Here is a 17,797-nt window from a genome sequence, read left to right on the forward strand (position 1 = left end):
GCTGAGCAGATGCTGGCACTATGCTCCCAGTACAGCCTGCAGAACTGTGAGTTAAAGAAACTCATGTTACCCAGCCTCCGGTGTTCCTTTATCAAAAAACAAATGGACTAAAACAAGGGCCTTAGAGACAAACTAATCAAAGCCTCTCATTTTAAAGATGAAAATTATAAATACAAAGCAGGTAAGTGACTTATTTGAGATTATTATTATAGCTAATACTAATATGGGACTTATTATGTTCCCAGAACTGCCTTAACCACATTATATATTTGAATGATCCTCACCACAATCAGTTCCTCAAGCAGCAAACTAAGGCACAGAGAAATTGAGTAACTTGACAAAGACCAAACAGTTCATAAGGACAAAGCCAAGATTTGAACCCAGTAGTTTTGCTTCAGAATCCAAGCTATGCTTAGGTAGCTATTTCTAAAGATAGGCATGAATTTTTGACACATGTTCATACACTGGCTTGCTATTTGATACTAATCATCATGGTTGTTTCCAGCATCTCCAAACCTAATATCTCATGATATTATGATACTTAAAAGTCACAAAACACACAAGTTGAAAAGAGTAGTGTGATTGCCAACGTGGATGAGGATGCTACCAGGAGGAGGAAATGAGGACATCCAAAGTCATGACAAATATATTTATAATAAGCTAACTTTGGCAAATATTGCCACTGGTGTATTATTCCTTTGTCATCCCTAATCACCCCCATGTACTCCCTCCTATCTCCAAACCCTGGTCTTCTATATGTGTTTTCAATCAAGTAGGAACAGGTTAAGCTGTAAAACCTAAAGTGGATGGAGTTGGGGTTAAATCCTGGGATGACTGGAATACCCAAGATAGAGAAAATCTGTGTTTCAGAAGTCTCAGACCTCATTTCATTTCATACATTCACTCATCAATGAATAAATATTTATTCTGTGCCCACTTGGTAAAAAGCACAGACCCAGTTACTGGAAATACACCAGTCCATGTGATGAATTTGGCCTTTTCCCTCCTCACACACACAGTGTCGCAGCATTCCTCCAGAGGAGGTAAGACATCTGCAGTTAAGCAAGTGTCATCTTCCAACCTCGTGGACCTCTGAATGGTGCCTGAGCTGCAGGAGGTTTAACAGAGTGACTCAGCAAGGCGAGGGACTGCTAATAGATTATTAGTCACTCTTAGGTATACAGGCCATGGGGTAAGAGAATGTTGTTTAGAAATGGCTATAATACATTATTTGAGTGATTTGTATGAACTACAAACTAGTTTATAAGTAAAAATTGCTCGCTTTGTTATTGTATTTTGTTAGAATGCACATATCCTTTTTGTCCTTGGGGACCCTGAATAGCAAAATATTATATCTGCTTATTGAATTGATAAACTAAGTAATTCCAGAAATTTTGGAAATTGAGTTCACTCAAAGATAGATATGAAACTGCAAAATTTCCACCACCTATATATCTATTTTCATCTTTTAGTATGAGTCCCCACTTCTTTCCTTGTAATCAAGCTACCATAACTTTCCCACCTACACTGAGGTCTTTGTCAGCCACCAAAATCTGTTCTGCTTACTAAAACAACAGGCTTCCTCTGAAGCCCTAAGTTCTTTAATTCACTCAGCATGATGTTATTTCTAAAAATGTTTTTCCCACTTTAACCCAATCTCTCCTGTATCAAGATAATAACTAATTAATTATCGTTGTCCCTCAATTTTGTAATGAGGTTTAAAAAAACCCATTATTTTCATACCCTTTATCATAAGGTAGCCAGGCTACATTCAGCTATTACAAAGCACATTTGAGTTATAGGTGTAAATCTATATACCTTGTATATAGCTTGTGTTAGGGGATTTTACTGGACCCCCATATCTGCTCACATATCTGGCTACATATTTACTTGCATATTTTACGTTTTAAAAACTTCAAGCTTCTTATGAGCAAGTGTCCTGTTGCCTTTATATGCTCCAGAAACAGAAATTTGATGGAGACAAAGAAGTGGATAAAAAGAAGAACAAGCAGATAATTGGAAGGTGTGTTTGCATTTAGGTGTGTAAGATTCAGGGACAAGGCCAATGAGGCTGGTGTTTTTAAACAGACTGAAAGTCTGGTTAGGTACAGTCTATCGAGTCATCACATCCAACCCTCACATCCTTCTTAGAAATCTGCAGGGGCCGGGTGCGGTGGCTCACACCTGTAATCCCAGCACTTTGGGAGGCCGAGGCAGGTGGATCACAAGGTCAGGAGTTCAAAACCAGCCGGGCCAAGATGGTGAAACCCCATCTCTACTAAAAATACAAAAATTAGCTGGACACAGTGGCAGGCGCCTGTAATCCCAGCTACTCAGGAGGCTGAGGCAGGAGAATTGCTTGAACCCGGGCTTCAGAGGTTGCAGTGAGCCAAGATTGTACCACAGCACTCCAGCCTGGGCGACAGAGTGAGACTCCACCTCAAAAAAAAAAAAAAAAAAAAAAGAAAAGAAATCTGCAGGACTGTAGGCTGCAGGAGAACAAAGGCCACATAAACCACACAGACTCATGTATCTCCGAAAACTCCTACAATGCTTTTCACATCATAGGCATAGAATAAATATTTGTTGTATAGTAAATGAATAAATGAAACAAAATGAATTCTAAGAATTCTGAAACATCTTATATAGTCCAGGATAGATATAAAAACACATTGAAAAAAGAAACTCCTATCTAGACTATTAATGGCTTGCCCCAGGTCTCATGGCCAACAGAGCCACCAGTTGAATCCAAGAGAAGACCCCATGTCCAGTGCTCTTTCTAGCATACATCTTTTCCTTTCTAGCTCTATCAAATTCTGAATCTTGTTCTTTTATAACTTATTTTGAGTTTTTGCAAATTCTTAATAAGCCACAGACATATATCAGCTCCTACTCTTAGAGAATCAATTTGAGAATGAAATCTAGTGTTCTAATGTATTATAATTAACAGATGGTTTTATATTAGGCTGAGAACGTAAAAGAAAAACCCTACAGCTGCCGAGAAAAAAAAACGGAAAATCAAGGTCTAGCTAGTGTCAGACCTGAGTTACTCCAAACCCAAGAAATGGATGCATTCAGTATGAGGAACCTCAGAAGGCCAGCTGCTTTCACAGCACCAAGAAACCTCTGGCCCAGATTTCAACAGAGTTCAGGGAACACAGATTGAATCCTCCCAGGGATCCCAGCAAATATCTCAGTCACTAGCAGAACTCATGAGGGCTTTTTTTAGACCACTTCAAGGAGCAGAGGAGCACCAGTTCTGCTTTAATTGTGGACTTTCAGCCTGGCTTTCTTACAAATATTTTCTTGGAAGTCATTTCCTTTTTACAGATATGAAAAGGACAAGAGTCAATAACTGCCTAGCTGCTCCATGGTGGATTCCCATACGTGACCCAGATGACAGCATATATTCTTTCTTTAAAAGGGACGCATGGGAAATTTTCAAAGAAGTTTTTGGACGACTTCCCAGAAGACACATCAACTGAGGATGTCAGGCATCCCGCTGCAGGAATTGGTGTTTTTCCTAGGAGAAAGGTCTGGAAGGTCACCTTCATAGCACTTGTTTGATAAGGAAGGGCATAGTATAGTTCAGGCAGAGTGGGCAGTCACCACAGTGGGTAGTGATCAATTCTGTGTGAATTGATCCCCAATCATAGTCCCAATTTGAAATGGTCACAACTGGTTATTCTATGTTCTTGCAGTCTGTGCTCCTATTCAGCCAGTCTTGCACAATTGCAGTTTGAATTTCTAGATCAAGCTACCTTAATCTGAACACATGGGCAATATCCAACTCACCCCATCTTCAGAATTCTCACCACTGAGCTCATTCTCCAGGGTCATTCTCAGAATTTGTCCCAGGCCCAAAGAAAACTCATTTTAAATCTCTGCAACATGTCAGAAAAACACGACAAACTGCTTAACCAAAAATAAATAACTAAACATTCCTCATCAACAACAATGTGCTCAATCATACACAGCTGAACCACTGGGACTCTGGCAAACTTCCTGAGAATGCAATTTTTTTTTTTTTTGAGACAGAGTCTCGCTCTGTCGCCCAGGCTGGAGTGTAGTGGCACGATCTCTGCTCACTGCAAGCTCCAGCTCCCGGGTTCATGCCATTCTCCTGCCTCAGCCTCCCAAGTAGCCGGGACTACAGGTGCCCGCTGCCACGCCCGGCTAATTTTTTGTATATTATTTAGTAGAGACGGGGTTTCACCATGTTAGCCAGGATGGTCTCGATCTCCTGACCTTGTGATCCGCCTGCCTTGGCCCCTCAAAGTGCTGGGATTACAGGCGTGAGCCACCGCGCCCAGCCAAGAATGCAAAATTATGGGTGGCCTTGATTCATAGACTTTGGTTCTTTTCTTCTGATCTGACACTTCATTAGAACAAACTTGATCCACGATGCTGAGACAAAATTTAAACACCATGGCTAGGCATGGTAGCTCACGCCTATAATCGCAGCACTTTGGGAGGCTGAGGCAGGTGGATTGCTTGGGCTTAGGAGTTCGAGACCACCCTGGCCAACACAGCAAAACCCTGTCTCTACCAAAAATACAAAAATTAGCCAAGTATGGTGGCAAGCGCCTGTGATCCCAGCTACCCGGGAGGCTGAGGTGGCAGGATCACTGGAGACCAGGAAGTTGAGGCTGCAGTGGGCCATGATTATGCCACTACACACTAGCCTTGGTGACAGAGCAAGATTCCATCTCAAAAAACAAAAAAAAAAGTTAAAAAATAAAATGTATATCATTAAAGAAACATTTTAATTTAGAACCCTGAAGGTAAACTTCCTCAGATCTCTGTTCAGTGTGATTCTCCCTCAGTCCTGCACCAACCTCAACTCCCCTGTAGGAGGCTGTGTTCTCTATGGTTATGCCTTCCCCACCAGAGTACAATATATTTAAGAAGAGGAATTACTATATTTATCTTGGTATTCTCCCTCACCTCTGTCAGGTCCTCAGTGCTTTTTTTATGTGTTGTAGGCATTCAATGTTTACTTAATAGATATAAATTCAATGTTTAATACATTTATTTCTTTAAAGAAATAGAAGATTTTCATTCTCATATTTTTCAAACACTGAATCGAAAAAAAACTTTAGTATTGGATAAGATTGTCTTCCATTTATCATAAAAATTTTCTCAAGACTCAGAGAAAATCAAACTCTTATCAAGGTGGCCACATGGAGCATAGCTTAATGTTGATGACACTCAGAGATTTTCTTTAAATTTTGGTTGTTTTTCAGGGAATCAGCCCAGAAGACACCTGCCAAACCCAGGAGTTAGGTGGTTATTTCATGTGGGTCATGGAATTCAACCACCAGAAGACCAAATTGTAGTGATTGTTTCATTTTCTATTACTTGTGACTTTGCTTGTGTCACTGGATAGAGGAACTGGCCACACTTACTGTTCATTCTCATCCCCTTTATCACCTGAGTGTAAAGACCCTATTGAGATGTTGTAGAAACAGAATATTTTCATATTGGCTTCTTCACCAGATTCTCAGCTTGCCAAAAAGAGCCAGGAGGCTGGACTGGTTATTTTAAGATAAAGTTTAGGGCCAATAAGGCAAAGGTAAAGGATGTAGTCCTTCTAAATCCTGCTTCTGTTTCAAAAGTTTAAGTTCCCTTCTCTCCATAATGCATTTTCTGACTACTTCCACCCATGTTATTCAATCTTCATTTCCTTTGAGCAGAAGATGCCCTTGATTGTTTTCCGTGTTCAACTAAGTTGTGGGCTGCTGGGGTCAGGGACCAAGTTTTATGCTTCTTTGGTATCACCCATGATGTCTAGCACACTGCTAGGCACAAAATAAGTGCTGTGAAACAAAAATGGAATCTCTGGACCCCAAACTGACTAAGCCAAAAGAAAAGCTAAGCTTGGGAACTGAGTCACTAAAAAAACTGCTTTCTGTTATTGGAAAAAACTACTTTAAAGTTCATATGGAACCAAAAAAGAGCCCACATTGCCAAGTCAATCCTAAGCCAAAAGAACAAAGCTGGAAGCATCATGCTACCTGACTTCAAACTATACTACAAGGCTACAGTAACCAAAACAGCATGGTACTGGTACCAAAACAGAGATATAGATCAATGGAACAGAACAGAGCCCTCAGAAATAATGCCACATATCTACAACCATCTGATCTTTGATAAACCTGACAAAAACAAGAAAAGAGGGGAAACGATTCCCTATTTAATAAATGGTGCTGGGAAAACTGGCTAGCCATATGTAGAAAGCTGAAACTGGATCCCTTCCTTGCACCTTATACAAAAATTAATTCAAGATGGATTAAAGACTTAAATGTTAGACCTAAAACCACAAAAACCCTAGAAGAAAAGCTAGGCAATACCACTCAGGACATAGGCATGGGCAAGGACTTCATGTCTAAAACACCAAAAGCAATGGCAACAAAAGCCAAAATTGACAAATGGGATCTAATTAAACTAAAGAGCTTCTGCACAGCAAAAGAAACTACCATCAGAGTGAACAGGCAACCTACAGATTGGCAGAAAATTTTTGCAATCTACTCATCTGACAAAGGGCTAATATCCAGAATCTACAATGAACTCAAATTTACAAGAAAAAAACAAACAACCCCATCAAAAAGTGGGTAAAGGACATGAACAGACACTTCTCAAAAGAAGACATTTATGCAGCCAAAAGACACATGAAAAAATGCTCATCATCACTGGCCATGAGAGAAATGCAAATCAAAACCACAATGAGATACCATCTCACACCAGTTAGAATGGCGATCATTAAAAAGTCAGGAAACAACAAGTGCTGGAGAGGATGTGGAGAAACAGGAACACTTATACACTGTTGGTGGGACTGTAAACTAGTTCAACCATTGTGGAAGTCAGTGTGGCGATTCCTCAGGGATCTAGAACTAGAAATACCATTTGACCCAGCCATCCCATTACTGGGTATATACCCAAAGGATTATAAATCATGCCGCTATAAAGACACATGCACACGTATGTTTATTGCAGCACTATTCACAATAGCAAAGACTTGGAACCAACCCAAATGTCCAACAATGTGGCACATATACACGATGGAATACTATGCAGCCATAAAAAGGATGAGTTCATGTCCTTTGTAGGGACATGGATGAAGCTGGAAACCATCACTCTCAGCAAACTATAGCAAGGACAAAAAACCAAACACCGCATGTTCTCACTCATAGGTGGGACTTGAACAATGAGAACACACAGACACAGGAAAGGGAACATCGCACACCACGGCCTGTTGTGGGGTGGGGGGAGGGGGAAGAGATAGCATTTGGAGATATATCTAATGTTAAATGACGAGTTACTGGGTGCAGCACACCAACATGGCACATGTATACATAAATAACTAACCTGCACGTTGTGCACATGTACCCTAAAACTTAAAGTATAATAAAATAAAAAATAAAAAAATTTTAAAAACCTGCCTTCTGTTGTTACCAGGTAGCTGCAACAATAGAAGGCCACATATCTCCCCAGATAGCCTCCCTCACAAATTGCTTACAGTGAAATGCCTTGTGGGTCCCTAAATCTTTCAGAATGCATATCCCTCCTATAAATGAGCCCTAAAACACAGTTCTGTTGAATCTCACTCTGACAATAACAGCTCATCTTCATATGTATGGTATAAGGACAAGACTTGGAAATCATCCCTCTGCCCACCCCAAGACAAATTCATAATTGACTTTCCCCCTATTTTCACATTTATCTTATGTAAAATGTAGATTTACTGAGCATGAGAGGAACACATAATCAGTATTCCTCTACCCACTCTTCACACGCAAAATGTGAATTCACTGGGCACTAATCAAAGCCTCACAAGAATGTAACTTCTTCCCTCATTGCCTACCTTCCCATTTCCCTTTTTTTTCTTTCTTTTCTCCTTCCCCTCCTGCTGGCTCTTTCCCCTTTAAATACTGAAGTCCTCAAAAACTCTCTTTGCAAAAGGCACAGATCACAGATGTTCCTGTATTTGTGCTTTCTCCTGGGGAATGTCCTTAACCTTGGCAAAATAAACCTCTAAAACGATTGAGACCTGCCTGTCATTTTTTTGGTGCTTAAAATCCATGATGGAATTTTTAATCACTATTTTAGACTTGGGTAAATCTGGCTGTGAAAGTAGTGACAGAGTCTTTTAGAATTTTCTTCTACCAAAAATAATTAATCAGAAAGTCCCTGAGAGAATTTCAGATACTCCTGTAAGGATCAAACCTAAATTTAAATTAGACTTGTAGATCTGTGCATACCCAGTGTCTCACACATATAAACTCAATAAAAATTTATCGAATGACCAAGTGAAGAAATGTTCTTTCAGCTTTTCCTTCAAGACTCAGAAAAAAGATATCTGCAGTTCCAGAATGGACTGAGTGAACAAGAAAAGAACAGATCAGTGACACAAAGACAGCCTTCTTTTTCCCTTTCAGGGTGACTCAAATTGTAGTCCTCATCTGAACAGTCTGAGACACAACTCTTGTCTCATATTAACTCGATAGGGCATTTGCTATACTCCCATTTACACAAACTGCTCAGATGCCCCAAATGCTGAGTCTGTTCGTCTTCATTTTATTCCTTTGGGAGATGCCGGTACAAACTTGTTTTTTCTTTCTTTTTTTAAATGGAGATGTGACCACCATAGCAACTAAAAGACATAAATCTTGCCTAATTGAATCAGTGTGCTCAAGATAATAGCCAGGGCAGAGACTGAGTTAAAACTGGGGTAAGGGTGAGAGTGGGGAAATGGATGAGGATGATAAAAATATTTATGTCCCTAGAATTTGTGGGTTTGGATTAATTCTGTTTCGTAAGGAATATTGTTGGCCTTCAAATGCAGTGCCACTTGGGAGAGAAGCAAGCGGGCAGTAGTTGAGGTGTCTCTGCAGTTGAATCGCAGTGAAAGGCAGGTTATGAGTATAGGGACCGCCCCTCGGCCATGTGGTCCCCTCCCTATCCTGAGGATAACGACATTTGAGAGAAGCCAATGGTATTGGAAGGCCAGAATCGAACTTAAGCCGCTTAGTTGGTACAACTGTAAACCCTCCCTCACAGAGGCTGGGCCCTGCAATCTTTCTAAGCAGGGTAAAGAAAAGTAAGGGGACTTCCTTTTCGAAGAGGAGGTTCCCGCGTGCTGCACCCGACCTTTCCCTCAGGGCCCAACACGCGTTATATAAATGCCAAGTTACTCAGGGACGCACACGTGAGAAGGCTGGGGCCCGACACACGCGGTGTAGTGCCGAAGTCACCGGTGTGGCGCGCCTGGGGGACACGCCGAAGCCCATTTCCCTCCCGCTTCTGGAAAGCAGTCCCCGCTCTTTCCAGCTGCTCCGCGGGGCGTATGGCTGTGCGCTACCTCCTGCGGACCCCAGGCTGGGCGAGGGGGCAGCGATGGCCACATGGCGCGCTCGGGGAGATGGCAGCTGCGCTTTGTTTCCAGCAGTGATAGGTGAGTCACTGGCTCCCGCAGCCCCAGAGCTGGGCAAACACTCAGGCCCAGGCAGCTGAAAAATTCACAGCAGGAGCAGCTACCGAAGCGACTGCAGCCTCTTCCTCCTCTTCCTCCTCCTCCTCCTCCTCCGCCACTGCTACCGCCACCACCGTGGTAGCCGCCTCCGCGCCCTGCCTCCGCCCCGTCCCCTCCTCCTCCACCCGCGAACTTAGTCAGCGGTTCGCGCCGCCGAGCGCCCATTGGCCAGCGGAACGCGTCGCGTCACAATGGAGCCGGTCGGAGGCGGCGAGCCGGACAGCGCCGGGGCTTCCCGCTGAGCCCGCAGCCTCCGGCAGCCGGGAAAGTGCGGGCGCGGGGCCGCAGCCTGCCCGCCCGGAGCGGCCCAGGAGCACGCCGCGGGGAGCGCGGGCGTCCGGGGCTGGAGTCGCGCAGGTAGGTCGGAGCGTGACACCCCGGTTCCAGGAGGGCGAGCCGCGCCGACCGAGGTGGTGGAGGAGGAGGACCGGATACGGGGACGCAGCAGGTGGGGCTGGCCGAACAGGTGCGGTTACCTGTTCACGCCTCACCTGCGAGCCAGGCTGCGGGCCGGTAGCGCGGCTGCAGAGACGAGTGGCCGCTTCGTTGTGCTCCCTGCCTTCGGGAGAGACGGAGTCCCACGCTGAGAGGACCTCTCCTGTGTGCTGGGGTCATTTGGAGCAAGAGGTGTGGGCGGTCGCGCCGAGACGGTCACCTCTCTTTCCCCCGGGAGTCTCGGCGTTGCACCTGAGCGTGAGTCCTCGGGGCGGGGCGGGAAAGGGGTTCCGCTTTCCCAGGCTGGCGTCTCGCTCCAGATGAGCGCAACTCCCCTGAGGGTGCCCCCATTTGGTCGCTCTGTTTTGCCCCCTGCGCTGGCGCTGTTGGGAACTATTTTATGCTCTTGGGAACTATTTTATGCTGTTGGATACGCGTTGGTTGCCTATAATTTGGTGGTGGTGTTGGGCGTTGATTTGTTTGAGAAAGAAAGGGCAAGCGTTACCAATTTAAGAAGAAGACTCAAGAGTTTCCCCTGAGCTTAGTTGAGCAGGTGCTGAGAGGTCAGAAGGGAGGAGGCTCAGTATTGGCTCATTAATCTGTGTGCTCAACTGACTTCCTAAAGTCCATAGATTGCCTTTAGTTAGATGACATTTGTGGAAAACTTTTTTTTTCTTTGTGGTCAAAAAGACACCCCTCTAAAAGAACAAAACCGACATGTGAACTTCCTTGAATAAATTCACTTCGCCTAAAGACTTCAAACAAACAAACAAAAAAACACTCCACTGGTAAAAGATAACAGTATGAACATTTTAAATTGTAGATATATAGCCAAATTAAAACAGGCAATTTGTTCAGCGTATATTAAGAAGACATTACGTAGCATGATTTTTATTAAAAGACAACCTATTTGCAAATGATATAGTAGTCTTTGCAGAACACCCCAGAAATCTTAAAACAGATTTATCTTTATCAGATGGTTCTGTCCCCTAAACCTAGGTGTAGGAGTGAGGATGGAAAAGAAGTCAAACTGCAGTGTAATTTTTTAAACAATTCCAGTACCCTCTATGTGTACAGGCTACACCTCCTGAGAACCCCAAATGCTCTTTGTTTTGTTTCTTTGTTTTGTTTTGAGACGGAGTCTCACTCTGTCGCCCAGGCTGGAGTGCAGTAGTGCGATCTCGGCTCACTGCAACCTCCACCTCCTGGGTTCAAGTGATTCTCCTGCCTCAGCCTCCCGAGTAGCGGGGACTACAGGGGCCCGCCACCACGCCCAGCTAATTTTTATATTTTTAGTGGTGGCGGGGTTTCACCATGTTGGCCAGGCTGGTCTGAAACTCCTGACCTCAAGTGACCCACCCACCTCGGCCTCCCAAAGTGCTGGGATTACAGGTGTGACCCCAAATGCTCTCTGAATTGTGGGTGCCGAGGTGACTTTCTTTTTCTCCTGGCTTTCCTTGTCAGCAGCTCTACTCAGAGAATATAAAGTGACAGCCAACCCCCAAGGTAATTGGGCCTGTGTAATTTTAGAATATAAGCCCTAACATGTCTGATATTTCTGTAAGCTAAAAAGAGGTCTCTTGAATGGGGGTGATGTTGTCATTGAGTGCACCCTTGGGTCATGGCACTTTCCTTATACTTAGTATCCCCAACAACATTTTTAAATCTGCATGTCGGAATTAAGTTTACCATTCTTTGAAATGTGTTCTCTTTTTCCTCAATTGGTAAGGTGTTCCAACATGTTCAGCCTATTATGAATCTTTTCACATTTTGAATGATTTCATTTGACTAGTTGAGATTTGCTTTTTTAAACCTCTTCTCTACCACTATCACCATTTCCCATTGCTATTTTAATTTTCAGAATCCTCAGAGTGAAAACACCAACAGTAAGTAAAATGAAAAGGGGCTTAATAAAACTTAAAGGATACTAAGCCTTCCAAGTTTTTTAGACTAATCCATGTATTTTCCTGTAGTGGCCTGAAATTTGTTATTTTTTGTTGTTTTCTGAAGTTTAAGGGGAAAAATATTTTACAATTTAGAACATCCTTGTTTTAGCCAATGTTTTTCTTATAAACAAGGGTTTTTGTTTTTGTATTTTAGTTTTCAAATTCTTCTAATAGTACCTGAGTATTTTATGTTTTCTGGACTTTTTACTATTCATAGCCTGTTTAACCCAATCCCGGATTTTCATTTGGTGTCTCTAAAGTTGAATTCTCTAATTTTACTCTTATTTCTCCTTCCCAGCATCCTTCTACCACACCCTGATATTATTAGAAATGAATGCATTCTGATTCTGTCATGTTATTACACACTTGGTGGCATGATTTGCATTGCCTTGCATGGAGCAGGTTCTCCACTGCTATCCTGACTCCCAGAGCACTGGGTACATCAGCAAACAGTTCAGACCTGTGACCATTCAAGAGGAATTTGGGAGACCCAGTTATAGTGTAGAATTTATTTAACCATTTGTAAAATACCTTCTAATTTGTGTCATATCTGTTTTCATATTGCTGCCTTTTATTGCTATTGCCTACTTTCATTTTATTCCCCATCTGTATTTTCTAAACTTCCTACATGCCTTTATTATGACTTAATTTCTCTGGTGTTTAAAATAATGCCTTTGGCAGACATAATAACCTATTTTTCTTTTTCTGATCATTAAGGTTGATCTTAAGTAAAATTAGGCCTAGCTCCAATCACTGATCTCTCTCCTAAGTTCTTATCACTGTGGTTCATTTAGAAATTGAACAAAGGGTAACAATAAACTCCCTGTTCTATGACTGCCTTTCCTTTAGGATTCTACTCAATTGCCACACAATTTACATTTACTCCTTCAGTGCTGCTGTGAACCTGAGTAAAGGAAATGAATAAAAATGAGTTGTCAGGGCTTCAACCTTGACCTTTCCTTTTTGCCTTTCTGACCTTTTTGCTGCTTTTGATATGGGTCATGTGATTCTGCTTGTTTCTTTCTAGACTGTATATATTTAAACTTCATCTCTTGCTTTTTTTAAATTTCAGAATCCCTTTAAATTCTTTCTTCTCATCTGTCATCCTGTGACCATTTCCAGGGCTCCATTCTGCAATGCCTATTCTTCAGCTAACAAGCACAGCATATTTCACAGACGCTGCCAGCTGCACAGCTTCTATTTCTCTTCCGTATCCAGCTCCATGCAGGTGACTGAGATCTTCCTCTGCTCATCTCTCATGGAGACCACATTCTTTATTGTTGAGTAGCATATTCCTTTTGATTTCTTCTCAGGTAGCAGATTTAAGAGCATATTCAAACTTTCCTTATTTTCTTCTGTCAAATTCCTTTTCAGCATTTTGAAACTTTTCTCTTTTCAAAATCTCTTGCAAATTACAAGCAAGAGTTCTTCAAGGTTTTACCTAAGAGAACAAACTTCATAGACTGACAGGCCTGATTCTGAACTCTGTGCCATCACTTTGGATGAGTTGTGGATTAGTTAAAATTAGTTGCCAGCTACAGAGACTGCAAAGAACAATGGCTTATTCAAAATGATGCTTGTTTCTCTTTCACATTAAACAAACTTGCAGAGAGGCATTCTATGGCTGGTATGATGGTTCTACAGTCTTCTGAGAACTAGGCTGATTCTACTTTTTGGATTATCTACCATATATAAGATGAGGCCCTCAGCTTCATGATCCCAAGATGGAGCTTCAGCCATCACCCCCAAGTTCCAAGTAGCAGAAAGGAGGAAAGAAGGAAAAAGGAAGGAGGGGAAAGGCAAGAGCCCATGGTCTCTGAAGGAAAATTCCTGGATGCTGTCATATACTTCTTGTTATATGTCATTGCCTAGAACTTAGTAACATGACCTCAGGTAGCTGGAATAGAGACTGGGAAATACTATCCTTATTCCAGACAGTCTTATTCCTAGCTAAATAAAAAAAAGTGGGAGACTCAAATCCTTAGAAAAAAGTGGGGAATTTTGGAGGTATCCAAACACCATAGCTATCCTAAATCTCTTTTTTCTTGACTAGTATTGTCTTTCTCACAGGAGTCTTAGGATTAAAATAAATGTTATACATTAACATATCTAATATAGTATCTGGCGTAAAACATGCTTTCAGTAAATCCTGTTTATATTCCTCCTTACTTCTTTTCCTTTAATTGTCTAGTTTCCCTGCTACAACATCACTGGCCCCCAAATCCTATTAATATTTTAAATACTTGGGCATTTACCCCACTTGGTGTTACGAGACTGCTGTGTTGTACCTTGTCATGGGAGGAGATGAGGTTTTTGAGTGTCAGGGAGCAAGACGTTATTACTCAATGTCAGCATTTATTCTTAGCCTAAAAACATGGCATGTGAAATCAAATAGATCTGGACACAAATCCTCCCTCAGTATGCAACCATAGTCTCTCTCTCTCTCTCTGTTTTTTTACCTGTAAACTGGATAATAACTGACCATTAGAATTGAAAGAAAAAAAGTATATAAAGTGCTTAATACTGTCCTCAGTAAAGTGGTAGCTTTTCTTTTTTAATTTGGCCTAACTTGTGTGAGCCTTTTCAAAAATCAGTACTTATTCTATTTTTTAGAAAGTTATAAAATTATCTCTAAAATCAGTTTATCACCCAAGTGACAGCAAAATTTTTTCTATATATTTTGTTATAAAATAACAAAATATGGAATGGTTAATGATACAGAATGGTTAAGCCTTAACCTTCCTCAGCCTTGAATTATTTTTGGCTGACCCACTCTCAGAAGCTAAACCTTACCACCATTTAATTTATTTCACAGTATTTTTTTTTTCAGTAGCTATTAAGCATATAGTTTGTGCCAGGCACTGTACTATATTCTGGGGATGCAATGATGATGAGCAAAAATGCACATGTTCCCCACCCTCGTGGAGATCTGGGACCATACTGGGGAGGACAGGTGAATCACTCACTCACTGCAAACAGATGAGAAGTTGTCACTGTGAGGTTGTTATAAAGGAGACATGGGTCGGGCATGGTGGCTCACACCTGTAATCCCAGCACTTTGGGAGGCTGAGGTGGGTGGATCACCTGAGGTCAGGAGTTCGAGACCATCCTGGCTAACATGGTGAAACCCCGTCTCTACAAAAAATACAAAAAAAAAAAAAAATTAGCCGGGCATAGTGGTGGGCGCCTATAGTCCCAGCTACTCGGGAGGCTGAGGCAGGAGAATGGCGTGAACCCGGGAGGCGGAGCTTGCAGTGAGCCGAGATTGTGCCACTGCACTCCAGCCTGGGCGACAGAGCAAGACTCTGTCTCCAAAAATAAATAAATAAATAAATAATAAATAAATAAATAAGAGTATATAATAATATAACTTCTCAATATGACACTCAGGAATAATCTAATTCTTTTACAGTTTATTTGGGCTATATTAGCAAACTTTAAATACAGATGCTGTCTTGATACAACAAGCAGATGCATCTGAGACAGGGCACTGTAAAGTAGGATATTTTTGTAGAGGGCCAGAGGGTTGATCTGCATCATCCTTAGCAAATGGAATTTGAAACCATATGGCTGAATGAAGAAAGACTGTTGGCAAAAAATCAGTAGCGCATAAAGCAGCAGTGGAAAATGACCACAGGATGGGAAGTATGAGCAGTGTGTTTCAGAGGGTTGGGTGACTGGACTATGCATGGGATGGCCTTCTCAAAGCGGGTGGACAACCCCAACGGCCGGTCCCTCCGTACCTTTCCATTTTGCACAGACAGGAACCAGCATGGCAGGGGGTGCTATTGACAGGTGCTTTGGGAGGTGCCGTTTCTCCTTGCCGTGTCCTGCTGAGCTATTAGGGGAGTTTGTGGGGAAACAATGCCTCTCTAATCCCTGTAACAGCCTTGGAGGATGGCAGGGAGCACTCTACTTCCATGCATCTTCCACGTATTGTGGTATTTTCCATGTATTGTGGTATGGCATGACTGAGCCTTGGGGGTTGAGCCATCAGCCATTGCACTGAAGAATGTTTCTTGCTCTGAGTGGACAAATTTAAGATAAATTCTGTTCATCTAAAGATTTTAAGTTCATTTCTTTTAACAAAACTGAGTTTATTCCTGGCCCTATTTCAATGCTAAAATAAGCAGTCCTAAGCTAAGCAATGACTTGTCTTTCAGAAGCATTTCTGAATCATGTAGGGAAGTTTAAATTTTTCCCTGAAGGTTTGATAATTTGAGTCTATGAAACAAAGTGATAATAGCTTCACAGGAAAAAAAGCCTGATAAATTTTATTATGTGCACATGTATGCACAGGAGTCATATAAAATATTTTAAAAACTCAAAGAAATGGCCAGATGGTTAATGCTTATATACCATCTTGAGGTAACAGAAAGAACAGGGGCTGAGAGCATGGCCAAAAACAGGTAATGGTGGTAAATCAGGTTATGGTGGCAAGACAGGTTATGGGAAGGAGAGAAGAGGAGGCCTGGCTAGCAAAGGTGGTCTTGTTATCTAGATGATCCTCTCTGGTAGCAGCCCTCAGATAGAATAGATGGTAAATGTTTCTTTCAGACCTTTAAAGCTGTCAGATTCTCAGTTAATCTTTCCTAGATCCAGACAGACAAGGTGGGGCCTCAGAGAAAGCCTGGCTGCATCAGTGCAGATACTCTACAGACACAAATCTCCCGAACAAATGACAGCTTTACTGGCCTACTTCTGTTTTGCCCTCCGAACAGCCATCTCAAAATATGTCAAAGAAGTATATTTTGGGGTGCAATATTTTGGTTTCCTTCAATCATAATGCAGTTTCTCAGAGGCCTAGTGTTGTGTGTGGTGGTCAGGTTCGCAGGCAATCCCAAGAGAGTTTATGTTGGCCAGTGGTGCCCTAAGGTGCCAGAGTCTTTCACCCTCCCTTTTCCTGGAATGACCTTGTAACTTGGACTTCCTGCTTCAGATTTGCCTGGGTATTTGCAGTTCCTCCCTCAGTGGCACACCAAGCTCCTTCCTACCTTAGGGGCTTCTCAGTTGCTGTTCTTTCTGCCTGGAATGCTCTTCCTTTATAAATTTCCATGACTACTTTCTTCTCAAGAGTCAGCTCAAATGTGTCCTCAGAAATACGTTCCCTGGCCACCTTAGGTAAAGTACCCATACCCCCTACCCATGTTCCCGTCATAGTCTTTCAAACCTTGGTTTATTGTTTGTTTGCTTGTTTATGCTCTATTCCCCTCACCCCCACCAGAATATAAGTTCTGTGAAAGCAAGAACTTTGTCTCCCTTGTTTAACTGCTCTTAAGCCTGGTGTGTAGTAAACGTGCCAAAACCGCTGCATGTGATAGTGGGTGAATAATATTACCTCATTGATATAGTTTGGCTGTGTCCCCACCCAAATCTCATCTTGAATTGTAGTTCACATAGTCCCCACGTGTCGTGGGAGGGACTGGGTGGAGATAATTGAATCATGGGGGCAGTTTCCCCCATCCTGTTCTTGTGATTGTGAGCTAGTTCTCACAAGATCTGATGGTGTTATAAGGGGCTTCCCTCTTCACTGGGCACTCATTCTGTCTCCTGGCACCCTGTGAAGAGATGCCTTCCATCATGATTGTAAGTCTCCTGAGGCCCACCCAAAGCCATGCAGAACTGCGAGTCATTTAAACCTCTTTCCTTTATAAATTACCCAGTCTTGAGTATGTCTTCATTAGTGTGAGAATGGACTAATACACCAATTAGTCATAAAATGGGGATAATAATGTCCATGCCACCTACCTCACAGAACAAATGAGGGCCTGGAGTTAGTGGATTGAAGATACTTTCCTCAGAATTTGCTGTTCACCTTTAGATTCTGTATTTTTGCCAACAGCAATACTATTTACCCAGTTATGTATCCCAAGTTTCTTGGAAC

The 17,797-nt window shown here is 42.3% G+C and overlaps 1 protein-coding gene across 4 annotated transcripts in view, besides 3 other annotated features; it reads left to right on the top strand.

Annotated features, from left to right (window-relative positions):
• Positions 9,560-10,019: a silencer, noted in NCBI's record as "silent region_1053". NCBI's record gives its function as "represses an Ori minimal core promoter by ATAC-STARR-seq in GM12878 lymphoblastoid cells {active_cell/tissue: GM12878}" and the evidence as "EXISTENCE:reporter gene assay evidence [ECO:0000049][PMID:35858748]".
• Positions 9,696-17,797, top strand: part of LRRC8B (leucine rich repeat containing 8 VRAC subunit B) — a 73,033-nt gene continuing 64,931 nt past the window's right edge. For 3 of the 4 annotated variants that reach the window (NM_015350.4, NM_001134476.2, NM_001369819.2), the window contains exons 1-2: positions 9,696-9,889; positions 11,829-11,853. The gene's annotated coding sequence lies outside the window, so the exon portion shown is untranslated. The remainder of the gene's footprint in view (positions 9,890-11,828; positions 11,854-17,797) is intronic. The other variant, NM_001369817.2, reaches the window with a different exon arrangement.
• Positions 10,721-11,222: an enhancer, noted in NCBI's record as "H3K4me1 hESC enhancer chr1:89991413-89991914 (GRCh37/hg19 assembly coordinates)". NCBI's record gives its function as "activates a minimal SCP1, AML or CMV promoter by ChIP-STARR-seq in primed H9 embryonic stem cells {active_cell/tissue: H9 hESC(primed)}" and the evidence as "EXISTENCE:reporter gene assay evidence [ECO:0000049][PMID:30033119]".
• Positions 11,223-11,724: an enhancer, noted in NCBI's record as "H3K4me1 hESC enhancer chr1:89991915-89992416 (GRCh37/hg19 assembly coordinates)". NCBI's record gives its function as "activates a minimal SCP1, AML or CMV promoter by ChIP-STARR-seq in primed H9 embryonic stem cells {active_cell/tissue: H9 hESC(primed)}" and the evidence as "EXISTENCE:reporter gene assay evidence [ECO:0000049][PMID:30033119]".

The sequence above is a fragment of the Homo sapiens genome, chromosome 1 (assembly GCF_000001405.40).
Source record: "Homo sapiens chromosome 1, GRCh38.p14 Primary Assembly".
In the NCBI taxonomy this organism is placed as follows: domain Eukaryota; kingdom Metazoa; phylum Chordata; class Mammalia; order Primates; family Hominidae; genus Homo; species Homo sapiens.